We start from the raw sequence: 22,396 nt of genomic DNA, 5'->3' as shown, positions 1-22,396 counted from the left end.
AAAGCCTTACAATAGCACCTGGCACGTGGTGAATGCTCAAATGTTATTAACCATGAGCCCTGCTACAGTTTCAGGGGCATTTTCAGCCTCCACCCTATGTGTGCTATTAACTGTTCCTGGACAGGCTGTGGCAAGTATTTACTGAATTGAATTCTTGTCCTGGCTCTGACCCAGGGATTCCTGACCCTGGCTCTTCATCCATCCTGGCAGCATGTTTTATCACTGAATGTGCATCCCTAGACCCTGGTGCCCGGTTTCCAGCCTAGGCTGGCACCTGCCCCATAATGAGCTGCTTTTTGTTGTTGTTTAAATCAATGATTGTTGCTAGGCAGGGTCTCCTGAGACAATTTTCAGGAGACTCTGCGCTCTAAAGAAACCTGTCCAAGCCAGGGGTGACATCTTCATATCACACACAGCCTACTCTCTGGCTTCTTTTCGTTTCACCCTGGGCATAGGTACCAATAAGAGGCCCAGGGCAGCCTCCCTTAAGACTGCAATTTCTAATTAGCCTTTGCTCTGTGAAAAGAGTAAACTTCTACAAGAATGTTAGTCTCTAACAAAAACAATTAATCTTGCTGGGGTTGGTGATGGGGCCAGTGGAGCCTCTCAGTCCTCCTTGATGAAGGCAGCACAATAGAAAAAAAGGACTGGAAGGAAGTGGACCAGGAATCCAATCCCAGTCTGTTACTAACTCCGTCAGTGACTTCGGAAAAGGTCCATCCTCTCTCTGGGCCTTGATGTCCTCATTGATGAAATTAGGACCTTTTTTTTGAGACAGGGTCTCGTTCTGTCACCCAGGCTGGTATACAGTCATGTGATCACAGCTCACTGCATCCTGAACTTCCTGGACTCAAGCAATCCTCGTACCTCAGCCTCCCAAGTAGCTGGGACCACAGGTGCACACCACCATGCTGGGCTAATTGTTTATTTTAATTTTTGGTAGAGACAGAGGTCTCTCTATGTTGCTCAGGCTGGTCTCAAGCTCCTGGGCTAAAGTGATTAGTCTACTTGAGCTCTCATAACAAATTTGCCAGAGACTGGGTGGCTTAAATGGTAGACATTAATTTTCTAACAGTTCTGTTCCTTGGATTTCCTGTCTCGGCCTCCCAAAGTGTTGGGATGACAGGCACAAGCCACCACACCCAGCCAACGTGAGAGTTTCAACAGCCATTCCCTTCTCTGATTCCAGGGAGAACTCATCAAAGATTGCAGCACGGGGAACAGATATTTACTACCTGCTATGTGCTAGAGCATTTTCTCCAATGAACTAATTCTGCACTATGACCCTGTTATATGATGATTAACTCCTGTTTTATAGATGGAGACATCAAATTTTGGAGAAATCACATAACTTGCGTAATGTCACAGAGTTGGCAATGATGGAGCTGGGGAGTCAGCCTTTCCATTGTAATAGGCTTTCTCCCCTGTTACCACTGGCCAGGTGGGAAGAGAATCTTTATTCTCTCCTGGAAACTCCCTCAAGGGGTCCCTAAGAATGAACATGGGTAGCAGGAAGAAGTGTGCATGTTTGTGTAAGTGTGCACACATAAGTGTGTTTGTACATGTGCATGCACGTTTGTGTGTGCATTTGTGATTGTGTGTGCATGCATGACCGTGTTTGTATACATGCACATGAACATGTGTGAGTGTGCCTATTTACATGTGTGTTTATGTGTATGTACCTGTTTGTGTCTGCTTATGTGGGTCAAGATGTGTGTGTGTGTGTGTATGCACATGTGTGGTATCTGATCAATGTTTAGTTCTCTGAGACTAACTTGACAGCAGGCATCCCATGTCTGACTCTCCTCTTGTTTTTCCTTTCTTTCTTCCCCTACTCCTTCCTTCCAGTTTATGGGCAGGACCACCTGAATTGGTTTTCTTTTGCAAGGAAAACAAAGCCTGCTTTTACCTGCTGGAAGATCCATAACAATTAACCAGATCTGCCAGGGGAAAGAAAAACCTGGGACCCGCTGAGATGGCTTTAGCAAAGGCAGGATGTTCTCCAGAGGTGGGCACTGGTTAAAAATTCAGAAGGAGCATTGGCATGTGATATGAGGCGCAGTCTTTTGCTAAAGAGATTTAATGGCCCACAATTCAATTTGAACTGAAAGAATCCCCCCAATGACTCCTTATAAAGTCTTCCTGAGCCCTGAATCGATATCTATGGGGCTGGTGAGGAGCAACTATCGATTAGCTGTCTCTGCCAATGAGCATTACAAGCCAAGGAGGTTGGAGGGGCGCCTTGTGCACCATTACACGAGCAGCACCTAATAAAATTGGTACCTATTGACTGGCTGCAGTGCCATGTAGGCCAGGAAAAAGGGTGGCCAATGCAGGGCCTGATCACTAATCAAATTCCCTGGGAACCCATTAGAACAAATGAATTGAGTCCTCTCTCCTACCTGTGGACATATAATAGGGGACCCCGAAGCCATATTTCCAATAATTTCAAGCCAGAAGATCCTGAGGGTAAAGCCAGAGTTTCATTGTGTTCTAACCAGTTTAGATCACAAAAGAAAACAGAGAAATTACTGCATTACCAACCACAATTTGCTTATGGCACTTATTTGACCTCAGCTGTCCAAGAATATGACAAGGATTCTAGTATAAGAAAAAATGGCTTCTGGGCATTTACAAAGTCCTCATGATAATGTCTATGCATTAAAATCCTAAAAAAGTCTATTTAAGGAAGAACAATTCAGACTGTCACTCAGAACCTATTAACTCTTGCTTTATATACAATACTAGTGAACTTGATTTTTCTGGTCTGACATAACACTTTAGTACTAGTAAATAATGGGTAAGATTGAAGTAGGTAAGGGATGGCTCTGCTAATGGTAGCAACCCTGTCAGCAGCAAGAGGTAATAACTGGCAGAGCTAAGGCAAAGAAACTGTAAAACGAGGGTGAGAGGGCACTGAAATTTGGAACTTTTTCAGGCAAGGGCAAACAGTTTTAGGCTCTTGGGTCTCTGTATTAGTCTACTTGGGTGCCATAACAAAGTGCCAGAGACTGGTTGGCTTAAACAATAGACATTTATTTTCTTACAGTTCTGGTTCTTGGAAGTCCAGAAGCTAGCAGAGTTGATGTATTAGTCAGGGTTCCTTAGAGGGACATAACTAATAGGATAGATGTATATATAAAGGGGAATTTATTAAGGAGTAATAGGTCCCACAATAGGCCATCTGCAAACTGAGGAGCAAGGAAGCCAGTCCAAGTCCCAAAGCTGAAGAACTTGGAGTCTGATGTTCGAGGGCAGGAAGCATCCAGCACAGGAGAAAGATGTAGCCTGGGAGGCTAAGCCAGTCTGGTCTTTTCATATTCTTCTGCCTGCATTTATTCTGGCAATGCTGGTAGCTGATTAGATTGTGCCCAGACAGATTAAGGGTGGGTCTGCCTTTCCAGTCCACTGAGTCATATGTTAATCTCCTTTGGCAACACCCTCACAGACGCATCAGGAACAATACTTTTCATCCTTTAATCCAATCAAGTTGACACTCAGTGTTAATCATCACAGTTGGTTTCTGGCAAGGGACCTCTTCCTAGCTTGCAGACATTGACCTCTCACCCTATCGGCCTCTCTTCTGTGCATACACATTACACGTGCACACACACACCTGAGCTCTGGTATCTTCCTCTCTTATAAGGGCATCAGTCCTATCAGATTAGGGTCCCATCCTTATGATCTCACTTAACTATCTCCTTAAAGGCCCAAATACAGTCACATTGGGGGTTAGGGCTGCAACATACGATTTTAAGGGGACACAACTCAGGTCCATAACAGCCCCCAAGGTGTGCAGTGCCCAGCATGATACAACAATTCCTGCTTATGAAGTGTTATCAAGAGCAGTTTTAAAATCATGTGTAGTTCTGGTTAAGATGGTAGAGAAATAGGAGATGCATTTTATAAAGATTTCCCTTCAAAAAGAAGAGATGATTTGCCAAAACCCTGGTTTTTAAGGGAGAAATCTCCAATTACTTAAAAAGAGTGTCGCTCTTATGGAACAGTTCTAACTATCTCCATCAGGATCCTGACAGCTGTTAAGAGATGTCACCCTCCAATGAGGATCATCTGAGGAGAGTTTAATAAAGGGGTTATTTACAAAGGTGGAGGTGGATTGGGAAACCACAAGAGGGGGCTGCTGTAGTCCAGGCTGATGGGGGTGGGTTGGAACACCCCTCAGCCTGAAGCCCGGGTCCCTAAGACTCTGAGACAGAGTAGAGGGTTACTAGAAAAGAACTGGAATCTTAGATCTAGGAAGACAGCCGACCTGCAGACCACAGGGAGCCCTCAGAAAGATGGGAAAGTAACTCACTTCACTCCTTCCCACCAATCTCTTTCAGGGGTTCCCTATGTGCTAAATCAACCAGAAGTCAGACATCGAGGGAGTCCTTGGATTGAGGGCATGGTTCCAGCCTGCTGGGGCAGACGACAGGTTGGAGAAGGGTGGTAATACACAGGGGACACTGAACAGAAGTTGTCCCGTTGCCTTAGCTTTTACAAGGTGCAGCTGGCTGTGTGACAGGTGACCTTGTCTAGCCACTGTGAGCTGAGTGAAGGTACTGGGAGTAGTCAGCTCCTCTCCTCAACCCCCTCCTCCCAGCTCTTGCCCTGTTTGATTCTCTTACGTTCCCCACAGCAGAGGACAGCTCACCTGAAGTGTTTCCCCAGCTCCAACCCTCTGTGTCCCGCCATCAAACACACAGACGCACGCCCACATCTTCAAAAAGAAGAGAAGCCCGCTTCACACCAAAAGGTGTTTCAGAATAGAGCCTCATCATTGATTCAAGCCCCGCCCAACCTAAGAGACTCCTGAGCTGCTGCTGCCACCGGTGCTGAAAAGAACAGAAGCGGCTTCCCCACACCTGCACGGGCTGATTTGCACCAAACCGCTCTAATTAGCACATTCCATGCTCTGATTAGGCTTCCAGGGGAAGCATGCCAAATGCCATTAATTATGGATGTGATCTTAAATTATTCACTTGAAATGTTTTTTTCCTTGATATGCCCCTTTCATTTCCCACTAACTTTTTGTCACATCCAAGAATAGATCCAATTAAGCCTCAAGAAGCGGAAGTTGGTTATGTTAAAGAAAAGATAAACTGAAAATGAATCACTTTTTTTTTCGTCCCAGTCATGGTGTTGGTGGAAAATCTGGAAGCGACCAGAAAAGAAAAAGGGATATGGTGTTCATCCCTACCTCTTCTTTCTGTGGATCTTGGTGCGTTTTGGCTCGTCAATGCCACCTTGATCATTTCTGATGGGACCCTGGATGGTGATTTATTGGGCTGGCTCCCCAGAAGCAGATCCTGAGCTGAGAATTCATGTGCAAATGACTTATTCAGAAAGCTGGAAAGGGGTGGAGGAACCAGGACAGCAAAGGAGAGAAAGCCAGGTGAGGCATGAGTTTAGACACTATCCCAACCTCAATCTGATCCTGCCAGGAATTCAGGGGTTCAGTTTACACCTCAGCATTTGCCAGGCAAAGGAGTTGGGCTTTCAGACTCTGGCACTAGACAGTCACTGTTTGCAGACTGCTGGAAGAGGTGTAAATTCCCAGGCATCTTCCTACTGACTGCAAGTGTGGAACAAGGAGTTCCAGGAACCCACAGGCAGGTCGTTAATGAGATTTCCAGGTGTGGGTCATTAGAAACAGAGTAGAAGCTGGAGGCTAAGTACACAGAACTACTAGAGAGATCCAAAGGGATCTGAGTCAAGGAACCATAGTCTCCATTAAAGGGGGCTTAGCGGGGTCACAGGCGGCAGAATAAAAAGTAGAGATCAATTTCTTTTCAAGCCCCCAAAGATCAGCACGCCTGTCCTATGGTCTGCCACTCAGATGCTCTAAGCATCCCTGGGGACCCAGCACTGTGTCCTGTGCTGTGGTGGAGACAGAGACAAATCCTGCTGTACTTTCACTCTAGTGCCAGAAACTAGCCTACATCAATGGGAATAAAAATTTGAGGATGTTGAGTTAAATACAGAGCTGTGAGGCTGAGATGTAATTGCTAGAAGAGTTCATAGATGTGAAGAGTTTCCTGGGAGACTCAGAACTTGAGCTGGATGCAAGAAGATGGGAAGGATAATGAAGAATTTCTTACTTACATGTAGTATTTCATACCGTACAGAAAATACTCTCCCATCTATTTTCTCATTTGTGCTTTGAAACAAGACCCTCAGGTGATATGATATCCCCATTCTTATAAATGAGAAAAATTGAGACTCAGAAAGGTTATGGCACAGACTTGTCCAAGTTGCCCAAGTACTTTATGATGAAGCCGTGCCTTGAGTTCACATCTTTTGATTCTAAGGCCTGTGTCCTTTCCACTATGCCATGTTATCTCCCCAGTGCATAGAACCTAGCAGAGCAGAAAGGAGAAGGAAGGGCGCTCTTGGTGGGGAAAACATCAGCAAAGTCTTGGAGGCTGAAATGCACATGTGAAGACTTTGAGGAAACTGACATGGTGTGATGAATATTTCTCTTGCGGCAGAGTTGGAGGTAAGTTGATTCCACCCCCTTGACCTGCCCCTACCCTGTCACAAAGGAATAAAATAGTTCCCCCGTAGAAGGAATCCAGGCCTTGAAGCAAACTCCAAGTGGTAGTGGCTGCCCATTCAGGCCTTTGTAGAGTAGGCAGAGTAGAGCAAGCCCAGGGAGGAGGCCTAGAGGGCCTATGGCCAAGCCCTGTAGGGGAAACAAGCAGGAGGCTGAGGTCAGAGGTGTATACGGAACAGGAGGACACTGCTGGTCAGAGACCAGGCCAGTGAAGCCTGCTACATGTGTTCCAAATAAGCCAGAGCCCAAGAGCAGGAATTTGCAGCCAGAGGTCCAGGGACAGTGCCGCTCCCAAGGCAGGGGCTATTTCCTGTCCCCTTGCAGCTTCAGAGTGGCATTGGGTAGAGGTGAGCTGTCAGTTCGGTTCAACAGACATTTATGAAGCATCTACTGCATACCAGACACTGGCCTAGCCATGAGGATTCAGAGAGGAGAGAATGAGTGCAGGTCCTCCCTTCAGGGTAGTGCACCCCATTTCCCAAGACAAGACACATACTTTGAGACTGTGGCATTTTAAAATCTGTCTGCATAATAGTTAATATTCTTCCCTTCATAAATTCCTTGAATGAGCCTAATTCCCTTGAATGTGGGCTGGACCTAGAGATTTTTTTGTAGTCCAGAGAAAGTGTGGTGGGTGTGACCATGTGTGACTTCCCAAGCTGGGTCATAAGGACATTACTGCTTCCATCTTCTTGTCTCTTGAATTGATCACGGTGGGGGAAGTCAGATAGTATGTTGTGAGGACACCCATGCCACCTTGGAAGAAGGTGACATGAGGGAGAACTGTGGCATCCCACCAATAGCCAGCATCAAGTGGCCAGCCATGTGAGGGAGCCACCTTGGAAAGGGCTCCTCCAGCCCAGATCAAACCTCAGGTGATCCACCCCTGCCCCACATCTCAACTGCAACCTCAGGACAGACCCCAAGCTAGAACCATCCAGCTAAGCTGCATCCAAAAGCCTGATCCAAAAACCAAGAGAGAAAATATTGATTGTTGTTTTCAGCCACTGAGTTTTAGAGTGATTCATTACACAGCAATAAATAACAAATACAATGGTGGTACGGAATACCAGCACCCCAGCGAAAATGGCCCTTCTTGGTTCCACCTAAGGCACATATTAGCACAATGTCACAATAAAAATAACAGAAAACTTGGCTCTAAAAGCTTTTGAAAATAATGGGCAGCTTTGCTAAAGGTTTTCTGGAGGTGAAAGGAATGAAGTGGGAATTACATTTCACAGCAGAGAGCAAAACTTCTTTAACATCCTTTTTACCCTCCTCTTCCTTCCAGAAAATGCTCTCCAGATGTGTCTGTTGTTTCCAGAACTTCCAGCCCAGCTGGTCTCTGTGGTCTCCCTAATGCTTCTACTGCTGCAGCTGTCCCAATGTCCTTTCCCAACCTGTCACCCAAGACCAGTACCACAGAGGTAACTCCCTAAGCAGCACAAACCCCTTGGAAGGTGGGGACGGCTGTGATCCTTTCCTAAGTTGGTCCTTGTCACAGCAATGAGAGCAGCAGTGGACAAACGGACAAGGTTAGTGAATGTTTCAGAGGAGAGTGTGTTTGGCCACTGAGGGCCACAGGAGTTTCCCAGAGGGACTAGCATGAAAGCTGAAATGTGAAATACTCCAGGAGGAGGGGAGAGTGTTCTACAGGTTGTACAAAGTCACTACCATGTAAGGGAGGGTGGCTTGAGGGAAAATGGTGCACAGTGGCTCCTGTACCTGAAGAGGAAACTCCAGCATTCGGGGGGCTCTGGCCAATCTGCCTGGCTTTGGAATTCTCAGAGCAACTTGAGCTCACCCTGACCCTGAATTGTACTTCCACAAAGAGCACAAACAGCTCTTTGAGGTTTCAGCTTGGTTGCTAATTAGTGGTGAAGTCTTTGCCAGCAAGCTCACCTCTCCGGGCTTCAGTTTATTCCCTTGTAATATAGGAGGGTATATAGGGGCATGGCTTTCAAACTGTAATTAACTTAAAAACTCCTGAAGAACTAGGCAAATGCTAATTCCTGGATCAACCCACCAGAAATTTGGGCCCTAAGAGCCAAGGCAAGGCCTGGAAATCTGAATTTTAATAAAGAAACCAGGTGCTTCTGCTGCAGGTGGCCCTCACATTTTACTAGCTCCTTAACTGTCTTGATGCTAGAATCGCCTGGGAAGTTATAAAGAGCATAGCTTCTGGAGCCTTCCCTGGAGACTCTGGTCAGTGAGCCAGCCTAGGGCTGTGGTTCTCAAAGTGTAGCCCCAGGAGCAGCAGCAGCAGCACTGGGGATTTGTGGGGCTATGCCCACACTAGACCTGCTGAATCTGAACCCCAGGGTTAACAAGCCCTCCAGGCAATTCTGATGCACGCTAAAGTAAGAGAACCTCTGGCTCAGAGTTTGTGTTGTTTAACAATTATGCAGGTGATTCTCAGCATCTTGAGGGGTTGGGAAACCTTGCAAGTATCAAGCATGCTCCCAGCTGCCGGTGCCTGAGGTTCTAGGAAGGCCTGGATTGTCCTCAACTTGCCTCTGAGCCTCCCCAGGAAAAGGTGTCTGGGAAACAGCCAGGATATCCTTTTTATAAGCAAGCAACATTCAGAAGAGCCGGGGACCAGGTGACTAAAATTTCTCATCCCAGCCTCACAACTTACAAACCCATTCACTCCTCCACGTCTAACCTCCCAGCATTCCCCTGAGAAGTGGAGGCCATGGAAAAACTTCCCAAACCCAGGATTTACAGAGAATGGGGCCAGGTCAACAGGGTCTACTTCTTTTCATTAATTCATTCCTTCCAGCTGACATCTCATTTTCTTGAAGGTGACCTGCGGAGGTTGGCTCCCTCCCCCACCAGCTCACCCCCTCCTTTCTCTCTCTGCCAGGCAAGATCACCCCTCTAAGAATAATAAGGAGATGAGAGCAGGCCGCTGGGCCTAGCTGTTATTGGAAGATGAACTGCTCCCTCTGCTCCTCCTTGTAATACGTAATTCCGGGGCAGACCCACCATCTCAAGGCTGCCACAGGGAAGAGAGGTTCCTGGCCTCCTGCTCCTGTGTTCCCCAAAGCTGTGGCTCACACAAATCCTCTCTCCGTGTCCTTTCCTCATAGGATGTCTAAAATTTCATCATCAATGCAGCTTTCCTTCCATCCTCTCACCTACACACACATACTTTATTGATTTATTAATGCATTCAACCTTTATTTACTGAGCACATTCTTGCTCTTGGTATTGTGCTAGGAATTGAGGATGCTTGCAGTTGCATGTCATCTGAAAAAATATTTTAAAGCTTAGCAGACAAAGCTTGACCCTAGAAGCTTCATCAGAGCTTCCAATAGTTGGTAAGGAGATCTTATAGGTAGAAGAGATGGGCCATAGGCTCTAGAGCCTGCACTGTTAAAGAAAACCTTTTAGATTGTTTTCAAACCAAACTTGAGTCTACCTGCCCAGCCTAGCAAGCTAAACACTGACATTGGGATCTTCAGAGAGAGAAAGTGAGGCACTTACTGCAGAGTGCCAAGCAAGGAGAATCAGACACACCTCATGCTTAAGACCCAAACTTCTCAATGGCTCACACGTAAGAGTTTGTTTGTTTTTCTTTTTGTTTTTTTGAGATGGAGTCTCACTCTGTTGCCAGGCTGGAGTGCAGTGGCACGATCTCAGCTCACTGCAGCCTCCACCTCACGGGTTCGAGTGATTCTCCTGCCTCAGCCTCCTGAGTATCTGGGACTACAGGCATGTGCCACCACGCCCAGCTAATTTTGCGTATTTTTAGTAGAGACGAGGTTTCACCATGTTGGCCAGGATGGTCTCGATCTCTTGACCTCGTTTTTCACCCGCCTTGGCCTCCCAAAGTGTTGGGATTACAGGTGTGAGCCACTGCACCCGGCCACCTGTAAGAGTTTTTAAAGGTGGGGCGGCAGAGGTTATAGGCAAAGTAATACATCAATACATGAAGATTATACTTTGGCTTTGGCTTGTCCCAAAATGGTGGGACATCTTACAGCAAAGGGCTTACAGGTTATAGGTGGATTCAGACATTCTTTAATTTGCAACTGGTTAAGGAAGCAAGGTTTTGCCTAAAACCTTGGGGTCATCAGAAAGGAATGTTATGGTTTGGCCTGTGAGCGTGACTGTCTCTAGGCTACTCAGGAAGAAATTTGTAAAAAGATTGGCAGTCGAAATTCAGTCCTCACTTCCCCCTTATCTGAAATCTACAAGACAGTGGTCAGTATGTTCCAACTGGTGGGGGTCCAGGTTTCTGAAGAACAACTCAGGGACACAGGTCAAGAAGTTATCTTTAGTTTCTATAGGGAACCAAATATCTTGTGGCTCTAACTTACTTGGGTGACAATTGTTTTAAGCTACCATTGCCTTCTTGCTTTTCAAGTTGTTCATTTACTTCTCAAGTCTAGCTAGGTGCCTGGGATTTTCCTTGAAGGAACTCAAGATTTTATTTCCATGCTTGGTGGGGTGGGCAGCAGGCCTCTAAGAGGGAACCCTGCTCTGTCTCAAAATGAGAGATGTCCTCGGGGAGCTTACGCTGGTATAGAGACATCAGGAAGGTCTGGGCCTTGAGGGATAGATGACATTATGCTAGGAAGAGATGAGGTCAGAGAGGATGTTTCCAGGTGGAGGAAGAACAAGTGCAAGGGTGGCAGAGAAGCGGGTGTGTTCGGGGAAGAGTGAGTGGCCCAGTATGGCTGTCTTCTTTCACATCCTCTCCAACCCTGGAGAAGCCAGCATTTGGGGGCTTCAAGATGACAGCTTTCCAAAAATAATTTATCTTCAGCTTTGGTGTGTGTCTGATAGTTTTTTGCTCAATGATTCACATTTTACTCAGGGTGATAGTAAAGTGAATTATTTCCCTGAGCACAGAGACTGGTGAAATTGAGTGTGTGTCTATGGAGCGGGGGAGGTGGTGGGTGGTAGGGAGGAGGCCTGGCTGAGTGAATCTGGCCTGGGATTAAGCATTTTCCCCAGATCTACCTTGAGCAAGACCAGGTGATAGAGCCTGGTGGGAGGTGGGGCTGGGTGGGGGATGGCTGTGTAGGGATGTTCCATCATTCTCTCTAGGACAGTTCAGAATCTGCAGTCCAGGCCACTCTTGTGGATTTCATGAGACAGTGAACATCTCTGGATTGCCTGTTACGTTATCCAACATCCTTTGTAAGAGCATCTCTGCAATAACTCCCTCTTGGAATGACAAATTGCTCTTTTTGAACTCTGAACAGAGACTACCCACCTTGCAGTAGAAATTTCATCTCTCCAGATAAGCTTGTTTGCCTCCTTTTATCTGCTACCACAAACTATATAACCTAACCATTGGCATCTTTGGAATTGCATCCTATACGTTTAATGTAGGTCTGTGTAATGGGCTACAGAAAACAGAATGGGCCCAGTGGAAATTTCCATTGAGGTTGTGAGTGATCATTCTTCCTGGAAAAATACTATTGGACAAGATGGTAAAAATAATTTTGTTTTCCTAGAATCTTAAACAGAAAAGTATTGTCAGAAAAAGCCCAGGGACTTCAATTTTTCCAGAAGGTTTGGAAGATCTTGAGGGTATTGACTCTTCTAGAAAGAAACATAAGATCTCCAGGACTGAGGATCCACGTTTGAGAGATGAATGAAGTCAGATCAATGTCCAGTTGAGAACCACAGGGGAAATGATGTGAATAGGCACCATTGCATCCAAGGTGGACCAGTGGTGAAAATGTGAGGTGCATGTGTCTGGAGACTGAGGACAGAGGGGCTACCCACCTGAGGAATGGGGGGCAACCCTTTTCACATACAGGTATTGGGCATTGCTGGTTCTGGCTCTAAGAGACCAACCAACCTCCCCCAAATCAGAACTCTTAACTACAATATATTTTCATTATTGCCTGGACTACCAAGACATTCAGGAGTAAAACTAGTGTTCAGCTAGTGACTAGACATTCCGTGTTCCCTATGTGTCTATTTCTTTGTAGTTCTTTTTTGGTCTTTTTTTTTTTTTTTTTTTTTTTTTTTTTTGAGATTGTGCTAAAAAACAGAGGCAATATATAATAGTAAAATAGAATAGTTTTTCAAAATCAACTTCTATCCTCAAATAGTGACTTTTCTTGAAGCTCTGGAGAAGAAAGGCACTCCCCATAGAATTAGTAAGAGGGACTTTGTCCCCATGCGCAGTGTGTGTGTGGCTCTCCTCACCTTCAGGTGCCCTCATACTTGTCCTTACAGGGGCCTCTAATATGCATATATCCCAAACACTTCTAGCTCCTCCACATTTCTCAGGCTCTATCCCACCCAAGTCCATCAATCTGTCTATCTGTCCATTCATCCATCCATCCACCTCTTCCTCCCTCCACCCACCGACTCTACTGCACTCTCTTAACAAACATTCAGTGCTTTTCTTCTGAGCCAGGAATAGGGTTATAAAGATAACTGGGAATTGGTGCCTGCCTTCCAACAGCCTTTGCATGTAGTAATGGAGAAGATTTACCAATAGGTACCTTCAAGAGGTGTTAGAACAGCTAAAGGAGTAGTCAGTACAAGGTTCAGAGGAGGAGGTGAGAGCATGGGCTTTGGGCCCAGGCTACCTGAGTTTCAAATTCTGACTCTACCACTAACAGCTGTGTGACCTTGGGTAAACTACTTAACATCTCTGTGTCTAAGTCTTCTCATTGGTAACATGGTGCCCTGTTGTGCCTACCTCAGAAGGTGGTTATTCTGCTTATCTATTGCTGCATAAAGCCAGCCATTTTATTATATTTCACGCTGTCCTGGGTCAGTCGCTCAGGCTAGGTCTGCCACTCAGTGCATCTGCTCCACATTCTGTCAGCTGTTGTCACTCGATGGTGTTCAGCTGGCCTGGAGGGTCCCAAAAGGCTTCACTCACACATCTGGCATCTCAACTGGGGTGACTGAAAGGCTGGGTCCAGCTGGGATGGTCAACTAGAGTGCTCACAGGGCTTTTATTTATTTATTTATTTATTTTGAGATGGCGTCTTGTTCTGTCGCCCAGGCTGGAGTGCGGTGGTGCGATCTCGGCTTACTACAATCTCCACCTCCCAGGTTAAAGCAATTCTCCTGCCTCAACCTCCTGAGTAGCTGGAATTACAGGTGCCTGCCACCACACCTGGATAATTTTTGTATTTTTAGTAGACACGGGGTTTCGCCATGTTGGCCAGGGTGGTCTTGAACTCCTGACCTTGCAATTTGCCTGCCTCGGCCTCCCAAAGTGCTGGAATTACAGGCGTGAGCCACCCTGCCTGGCCGACAGGCTTTTTATGTAGTATCCCAGGGCTCCCAAAGAGAGCATGCCAGGAGATGGGAGTGGCAACATCTTTTAAGGCGTGGGCCAAAGCATCATTCCTGCCACATTCTACTGGTCAAAGCAGACCCAGAGCTTGCTTGGATTCAAGGCGAGATGACTGAGACCCCCACCTCTCCATGGCAGGAGTATAAAGAATTTGTGGCCATTCTTGAAGCCACCACAGGTAAAGATTAAATGAGTTAATACATAAAAAGTAGAGCAGTGACTGGGAGGGCAGGATTCCAAGTAAATGGTGGTGTTTGCACATATGACTTGTGGGCAATTTTATGAGAGTCATGGTCTTTGCTAATCAAGGTAGACGCTCAGACTAATCAATATATGTAAAACACATAACTGACTAGTAATTAACGAGACACTTATACTCTCCAGGGACATCCCAGAACAACCTGGTGGGAGGCAGAGGGCAAGATGTCATTCGGAGGCCTCTTCCCTGCCTTAGGACATGCAGAGTCCACTTGGAGTGGCTACTTCTTTGGTGCCCTGGGCTCACAGATCCCTGAATGCACAGATGAGCAGAGACGGCTTTCAGCTGCCTGTCTGAGATCCCCCTCCCAGAGCCCATTGCCTAATTGGAAAGGGCCATTTCAACATCTTTGCAGAAAATGGAGTTTTTCTTTCCATGATGTTGTGATTTGACTGGGAGTTAGCAAAGCATCAGTAGAATCCTAAATGACTACTTAAAAAAATCAAGCCTTCATCTCAGCCTGGTGCGGGGCTCCCGCTCTCCCTTTGTGGCTAGGAAGATAAAACGCTTTCATGCGTGTCCTCCCGCCTGTGAACACAGGCTGGTTAAATATTTCTGGTAATGGCTTGTCTGTGCCAAGGATTTTATCTTTTCCCAGGAACAGTTCCTGCCTTAAAAGGGCTTCCACAGGGCAGAGCCATAACGCATATGCAGAACGCAGGCTAAGGAAGTCTTCGGGGAGGAAAGAGTATCTCAGAGGGGCAGGTGCAGCCACAGCGTGGGCCCGCGTGCCTGGTGCTAAGCTGGGCCCATTACGCGTACATCACATGATTTAATTCTCACTAAATTGCAAGCTGGGATGGGGCGGGGGGACGTGAGGGTTATTTTTTTAATCTCTTTTTGTAGTTGGAAAATCCTGGAGCCCAGAAAGGTGAAGCAAACTGCCTGAGGTCAAGCTCATAATGTGAAGTGGAGCTGCAATGTCTACTCAAGAGTGTCTGACATCTGCACTTTTTACTCTGCCAGGGTAAGCATGGGGGTCTTTCCACCCCTGTCATTGCATTTTACGCTGTTACTAACTTTTGTAAGGCCCCAAGCCTCAGGGCGTCCCCACTCTGGGGTGGACCCATGACTGGCGGCACAGCTTGGTTGTATGTCTTACTTAGGAAGACCCCAAGGCATGGCATGTACTAAGTCTGAATATGGGTGCGAAACCAGGACAGAGATCACAAAATACATTGCAGGGTAAAGAAAGGGAGTAGGGAATATTTAGATAGCCTTAGGAGGAGGGAGTGGAGGCTGGGCGCAGTGGCTCATGCCTGTAATCCCAGCACTTTGGGAGGCGGAGGCAGGCGGATCACAAGGTCAGGAGATCGAGGCCTTCCTGTCTAACACAGTGAAACCCTGTCTCTACTAAAAATACAAAAAAATTAGCCTGGTGTGGTGGCACGCACCTGTAGTCCTAGCTACTCGGCAGGCTGAGGGAGGAGAATCAGTTGAACCTGGGAGGCAGAGAGCTGAGATCATGCCACTGCACTCCAGCCTGGGAAACAGAGCGAGACTCGGTCAACAATAACAACAACAAAAAAGGAGGGAGTGGATAAACAATGGTGCTGCCTGAGAAGCCAAGAGCTGCAGGTTCACATCCCAGCCATGTCATTAAATCACTGTGGCATGACCTTGGAAAAGTCTCCTCTACACCTGGAGCCTCAATTTCCCCTTTTTTTTTTTTTTTTTTTTTTTTTTTTTTGAGACAGAGTTTTGCTCTCACCCAGGCTGGAATGCAGTGGTATGATCTTGGCTCTCTGCAACCTCCGCCTCCCGGGTTTAAGCGATTCTCCTGCCTCAGCTTTCTGAGTAGCTGGAATTACAGGCACTCGCCACCATGCCTAGCTAAGTTTTGTATTTTTAGTAGAGACAGGGTTTCACCATGTTGGCCAGGCTGGTCTTGAACTCCTGACCTCAGGTGATCCACCCACCTTGGCCTCCCAAGGTGCTGGGATTACAGGTGTGAGCCACTGTGCCTGGCAATTTCCTCATTTTTAAGTTGAGGGAATATGCTCTAGCCCTTCTGTGATCCCTTTTAGCCCTGAATCCGGGAGTCTATCAGGGCTGCTGCATTCAGCTGCATGGGTTGTACACTACACAACTCCAGGTAGGTGCTGCTCACGGACTGCCACTGCAGTGGCCCTAGATTCTATAAAGATGGATATAGATGAAAGAGATGGGAAGCAAGGACCTGAGAGGGCAGCAAAGAGGGGAGAGGGGGCTCCAAGCAGAGAGAAAAATGGCCTATAACCACTTTTCTCCATTCAAGAAGTAGATAAGTCTTTATACTACACTAAGGAGTGGTCAGGTAGGCGTATCTGGACCAGTGGAGGTAGATCTGTGGGGTTCGTCGCTAATCATACTCACTACTCACATCTGATCAAGCCCAGTTTAATTAGCCCTGATTTTAGAGGGTTAGGCTTGGTCCACTAGGGGGAAAAGTGAAGCCAAAACACAGCTGAGATAATGATCATGGATGTACCTTCAGAGGGCCATAAAAACAGCAAAGAAACTAACCATGGTGAGATACCTGCAGAAGCAGCTCTTCTCATGAGAACCCTGAGGCCTCCAGCTCTGCCCCACCCCCAACCCCCACCCCCCAGTTCATCTATCAATGTACTGGTCTCTCCCTATGGTTTGTTCCTCTCTCTCTTATCACTGCCTGCGTATGTGTTGAATATATTTGCATAGTTGTCCTTGTGTGAAAGCCTCACAATGAACCATGAATTTAAAAGTATTTAATTGGCCACTGAGTCATGGTGAAACCTCTCAGCCCTGGTCAGGATTAGTATAACTAAGCTGACTTGAATCTGGCATGATATCATGGGAGTAGGTGTGTTATAAAAGTGATTCCAGCCCTCTCTTCCTCATTTTCCCTATTTCTTTGACATTGTGCCACGGGATGATGCAGCAAGAAGGTCCTCACCAGGTGCTCCCTGGCTCTTGGATTTCCCAGCTCCAAAACTATGAGCCAAATGAATCCGTTTATTATAAATTACCTAGTTCAAGTACTCTATTATAGGAGCAGAAAACAGACTAGGAGCATTGGTACTGAGAATTGGGGCTGTTTCTACAACAAATGTCTGTAAATGTGAAAGCAGCTTTGGAACTGGATAATGAGCAGAAGCTGGAAGAATTTGGAGAAGCAGGTTAGAAAAAGGCTAGATTGCTGTGAATGGACCATAATGAGCAATTCTGGTGTGGTTGCAGAAGAAGAAAAGACCTCAGGAAAGCCAGAATCTTCTTAGAGATTACTTAAGTGGCTGTGATCAGCATGTTGGTAGAAATATGGGCAGTAAAGGCCATTCTGATGAGGTTTCAGATGGAAAAGAGGAATATCTTATTGGAAATTGGTGTAAAGGCCCTCCTTGTTATGAGGTGGCAAATAACCTGGCCAAATTGTATCCATGCCCAAGGACTTTATCAAAGGCAGAATTTCAGAGTGATGAACTAGGATAACTGGAGGAAGAAATTTCCAAGTAAAATATTGAAGGACCTGCATGGCTACTTCTAAACGCACATGGTAAGATGCAAGAGAAGCAAAATGATTTAAAGACAGAATTTTAAGGAAAAGGGAAGCAGAGCAGAAAGGGTTGGAAAATCCAAAGTCTGGCCATGTAAAGAGTGAAAAGGTGGCCGGGCTTGGTGGCTCATGCCTATAATCCCAGCACTTTGGGAGGCTGAGACAGGCAGATCATGAGGTCAGGAGTTCAAGACCAGCCTGACCAACATGGCGAAACCCCGTCTCTACTAAAAATACAAAAATTAGCTGGGCATGGTGGCACTTGCCTGTAATTCCAGCTACTCGGGAGGCTGAGGCAGGAGAATCGCTTGAATCCGGGAGGCAGAGGTTGCAGTGAGCCAAGATTGTGCCACTGAACTCCAGCCTGTGTGCAGAATGAGACTCATCACAAAACAAAACAAAACGAGTAAAAAGGCATATTTAGGAGAACAAACCAAGGGTATGGCCAAGTGACCATTTGCTAAAGCAATTAAGATGGATAGAAGGAAGCCAAGTGCTGTTTATCAACGCAATGAGAGAAAGACCCCAAAGGCATTTCAGAGATCTTTGAAGCTTTCACCCTCATCACAGGCCCAGAGCAGGACCATAAGAGCAAAGTTTTCAGAGAGGCATCTGTAGAACTTCAGCATTTGCTGTCCTGCACTGTTTTGGGGCTCTGTTCCCCAAATTACAGCATAGTGCCCCTTGTCCACCTTAGCCATGGCTTAAGCCTACCCAGGTTCACCTCGACCTGCCAACTCTGGAAGGCATAAGCCATAAATCTTGGCATTGTCCACATGGTGCTGACACTACAGGCATGCAGAATGCGAGAGCTGCAGGCACGGCACCCTCCACCTGGATTTCAAAGGATGTCATGAACAGCCTGGAGGCCCAGGCAGAGACCTGTTGCAGGGATAGAGCTACTTTGGAAAGCCTAAACTTGGTCAATGCCTAGTGAAGCCATGGGAGTGGGGTAACGTCCAAGACCCTAGGACTGTGGGGCCTTTCTTCTTGACTATTTCTCCCTTTTAGAATGGGAATGTCTGTCCTATGTCTCTTTCACCACTGTATTTTAGAAGTAGATAACTTGTTTAATTTCAAAGACTGACAGGTAGAGAAAAATTTGCCTCAGGATGAATCATGCTTTGATCTCATCTATACCTGACTTAGAGGAGATTTTGGACTTTTGACTTTTGGGTTGATAGTAGTACAAGTTAAGACTTTTTAGGGCTACTGGGATGGAATGAATGTATTTTACATGTGAAAAAGACATGAGTTTGGGGGGCCACGGGTAGAATGCTAAGGTTTGAGTGTTTCCCCCAGAAAGGCAAGTGTCGGAAACTTAATTCTCAATATATCAGAGTTGGGAGGTAGACCTTTAAGAGGTGATTAGGTCATGGAGGCTCTGCCCTTGTAATGGATTGATTTTATTATTGTGGGAGTGGATTTGTTAGAAGAGCAAGTTCAGCCCTCTCTTGCTAACTTCTCACTCTCTTTTCCTCTCTTCCATATGATGATGCAGTAAGAAGACCCTCACCAGATGTGGCCCCTCACTCCTGGACTTCCAAGCCTCCAGAATCATGAACTAAATACATTTCTATTTGTTATAAATTACTCAGCCTCAGGTATTGCTAGAGCAGTAGAAAACAGACTGAGAAAGGCTGTGTCTCCCTCCTCAGACTGAAGGATCTTTGTGATCAGATGCTGTGTCTATATCCTTTGTTCATTTGTTTGATATTTGCTGAGGACCTTTTAAGTGCCAGGCACTATTCTAGATTCAGAATACTATGTTGAAAAGACAGACAAAACCACTGGTCTCATGGAACTTACAAGTTAGTTGCGACAAATGACAATAAACAACAAACAATTTTAGGTTACAATAAGTACTAAGAAGCAAATAAAAGCAGCATAATCGTCATGGTAGGAGTGGGGTGTTAACTGAAATGTGTGACTGAGGCAAGAGTCTCAATCAATCAAGGTTTATTAAGCCAGAGCTTGAGAATATGTCTTGGAAAAACGCAAGTCATAGATGCATCTGTGGCTGTTTTTTCCAGAAATGTTTTTTTTTTTTTTTTCAGGAGGCTTAGTATTTATATACTTTCTGAAAGGGAGGTTTGGTAAGTGAAAGAATGATTGATCTAATCTTGTCTTTGTTCTGTATCTGCAAAGATAAGCAGTATCACTGTGAAATCTAACAGACTTTAGTTTTAGGAGCTACACTTAGATTGCAGCCCTAAAGTTGTAATTGACATGTCCTTGTCTTGTGGGAGGATATGCATCTTGAAAGTTTTCAAAAGCATCTGGAGATGCTAGAGGCCTTTTGCCTTTCTGTGGGGATCTGGCTAATGGATAACGCTTTGACACAAGGTTGTGGAGTGACAGCTATTCATCTGGGGAAAAGATGGCAGTGTTGGGTCACTCAGTCTCCGAGGCTTAACTTTTTCTTTGGCATAATGAGTTTGGGGGTCCTGAGATTTTTTTAATTTTCTCTTACTGGGTGTACGTGTCTATTTCAACTGGAATGGTTTGGGCAGCCTCTCTGAGCAGGGGCTTCTTATGTATTTATTTATTTATTTTTGAGACAGAGTTTTGCTCTGTTGCCCAGGTTGGAGTGTAGCGGTGCAATCTCAGCTCACTGCAACCTCTGCCTCCCGGGTTCAAGTGATTCTCCTGCCTCAGCCTCTGAGTAGCTGGGACTACAGGCACACACCACCATACCTGGTTAATGTTTTGTATTTTTAGTAGAGATGGGGTTTTACCATGTTGACCAGGCTAGTCTCAAACTCCTGGCCTCAAGTGATCTGCCCACCTCAGCCTCCCAAAGTGCTGGGATTATAGGCATGAGCCACCGCGCCCAGCCAGAGGCTTCTGAGATGAGACTTGAATGATGAAAATGAGCCAGCTATGGGAGGAAGGTCTGGGTGAAAAGCAATTCTTTCAGGCAGAACTGACTGCAAGTGTGAAGACCATGAGATAGGAGAGAGGAAAAGAAAGAAGGTCAGTGTGTCTGGACTTAGTGCGTGAAGGGGGTGGCACAAAGATGAATGAGAAATGTTGGTTCAGGCAGTATGGAGATCAGGCAGGGCCTTGCAGGTCACCAGGAATAGAAGCTTGCAGAGAATGGGCTGTGACTCCTATCCTAGGGGGTCTCCCTGAACCCCTGAACTTTCTATGGTTTCTCTATAATATTCTGATGGGTATCTGAACATCTGAATGTAAGGACATTGTCCCCTGTCTCATATTCCTCTGCCCAGGACACAGAGCTCTGCTGACCCCAAGCAATAATGGAAGAAGTATCCTGCCCATGCCCTTTCTGCAGCTGCCTCTGGGTGCAGACCCTCTCCGTACCCTTTCCCAGCTTTGTTATTGCAGACTTGGTCCCCAGAGCTCAGCCACTCACTTCCTGCTCTTTAGCACAATCTTAGTGAAGCCAAAGAGCAAAAGACCTCCTTAATCCCAACTCTGGATTTACAACAGGTGCCTGCAAAGCATGCAGCCTGGCAGACCCAGAAGATGCAGCCCATCTTCAGCCTGTCTTCCAGACCTGGCAGTCATCACTGGAAGCCCCAGTGTCTCTTCTCTGCCCCTACAGCTCAGACAACCTACAACAAACGTCAGTGAAGACCTGTCCTTGTCACGTCCCCCGCAAATGGGCTGTTAAAAGGCCAGGTTGGGAAGTCACAAGGATCCATTGTTGAAATCTGGCAAGTTATTTAAGTTCTCAGTTCCTCAGTTTCCCCATCTGTAAAACAGAGATAATAGTATATAGTTTTCAGGGTTGAAATCAGATCATAACTACTTGGCTCCATATGTTAAAAGGGGTAAAAATGATTATGCTTACTATGTGCTGGACACTGTGCTTAGTAATATTTAATTATCATAGCCATCATAGCTCAATGAGGAAGGTGCATTAGAATCCTCATTTCTCAAATGAAGACCCTGAGGTGCAGAGAGGCCACACAACTCTTCAAGTATGCCACCTACCAGGTAGTGGTTCTCAGCCAGGTTTGGTACTGTCTCCCTAGGGGACATGTTAAAACATGGGTGTGTGCTTTTGGGTTGTCATGCTGGCTGGAAACACTGGGGTTGGAAGAGGGGGCAGGAAGGATTCCTAGTAAGTGTGCCCCCTTGGCAATGTATGGCTCTTATCATGTGTTGAATAGTCCTACTCAGGAAAAATTAATCAGCCTCTGTTTTGAGAAACACTAATTACAGCACAATCCCACATTAACAGAAAAGGAACTGAGTCCCAAATAAAGTGATGAGTCCAGATTCACTTGGTGCATCAGGCCAGAAGTAGGACAAGAGCCAAGCCCCTATCTTAACCACCAATCTTTACCACGTGGGGGCCCAAGCCAGATTGTGGACCACCTGTAGGGGCAGGCCAGTTGGCAGCAGTGGGTTGGTGCTTCCTCTCAAAAATCCATTGGGAATGGCCCTGTGATTTCCCCTTCCCAGCCTGAGGAAAACTTGCCCCCCTCCACCCTCTATCCCCTGGCTAGAAAGATGTTCTTAGTTATCTTTGATTGGTTTCTCAGATTTCCATTGCCCAAGGCCAATTTCCACAAAGGGAAGGTGTCAATAATTACATTTCTGCTCTCCATACCCTGTAATTAATAATTGCGATTAATCTGGCACACTTAGTCAAATATTGCAGGTCCTAATTGGCTGCCGTGCCTTTCTTCTTCTGATTGAGACAATCCTATTCTTGGCAGTTCTGCAGCCAGCTGCGGTGAACTCAGCAGGACCTGTCAAATGCTTCTGCTTGGCAATTTGCATGACATTTTGGGCGGCAAAGCAGAGTAG

At 46.2% G+C, this 22,396-nt stretch overlaps 1 long non-coding RNA gene across 1 annotated transcript, besides 1 other annotated feature; it reads left to right on the top strand.

The window, feature by feature from the left end:
* Positions 4,058-4,615: an enhancer, noted in NCBI's record as "H3K27ac hESC enhancer chr6:40254197-40254754 (GRCh37/hg19 assembly coordinates)". NCBI's record gives its function as "activates a minimal SCP1, AML or CMV promoter by ChIP-STARR-seq in primed H9 embryonic stem cells {active_cell/tissue: H9 hESC(primed)}" and the evidence as "EXISTENCE:reporter gene assay evidence [ECO:0000049][PMID:30033119]".
* Positions 14,742-19,508, top strand: LOC105375050 (uncharacterized). Its single transcript, NR_187842.1, has 2 exons — positions 14,742-15,067; positions 19,113-19,508. It is a non-coding gene; the product is annotated as an uncharacterized LOC105375050 (long non-coding RNA).
* Positions 19,509-22,396: the final 2,888 nt, after the last annotated feature.

Source organism: Homo sapiens, chromosome 6 (genome assembly GCF_000001405.40).
Source record: "Homo sapiens chromosome 6, GRCh38.p14 Primary Assembly".
NCBI classification, from domain to species: domain Eukaryota; kingdom Metazoa; phylum Chordata; class Mammalia; order Primates; family Hominidae; genus Homo; species Homo sapiens.
The sequence above is the reverse complement of the archived record's forward strand: the minus strand, read 5'-3'. Positions and strand labels throughout refer to the sequence as shown.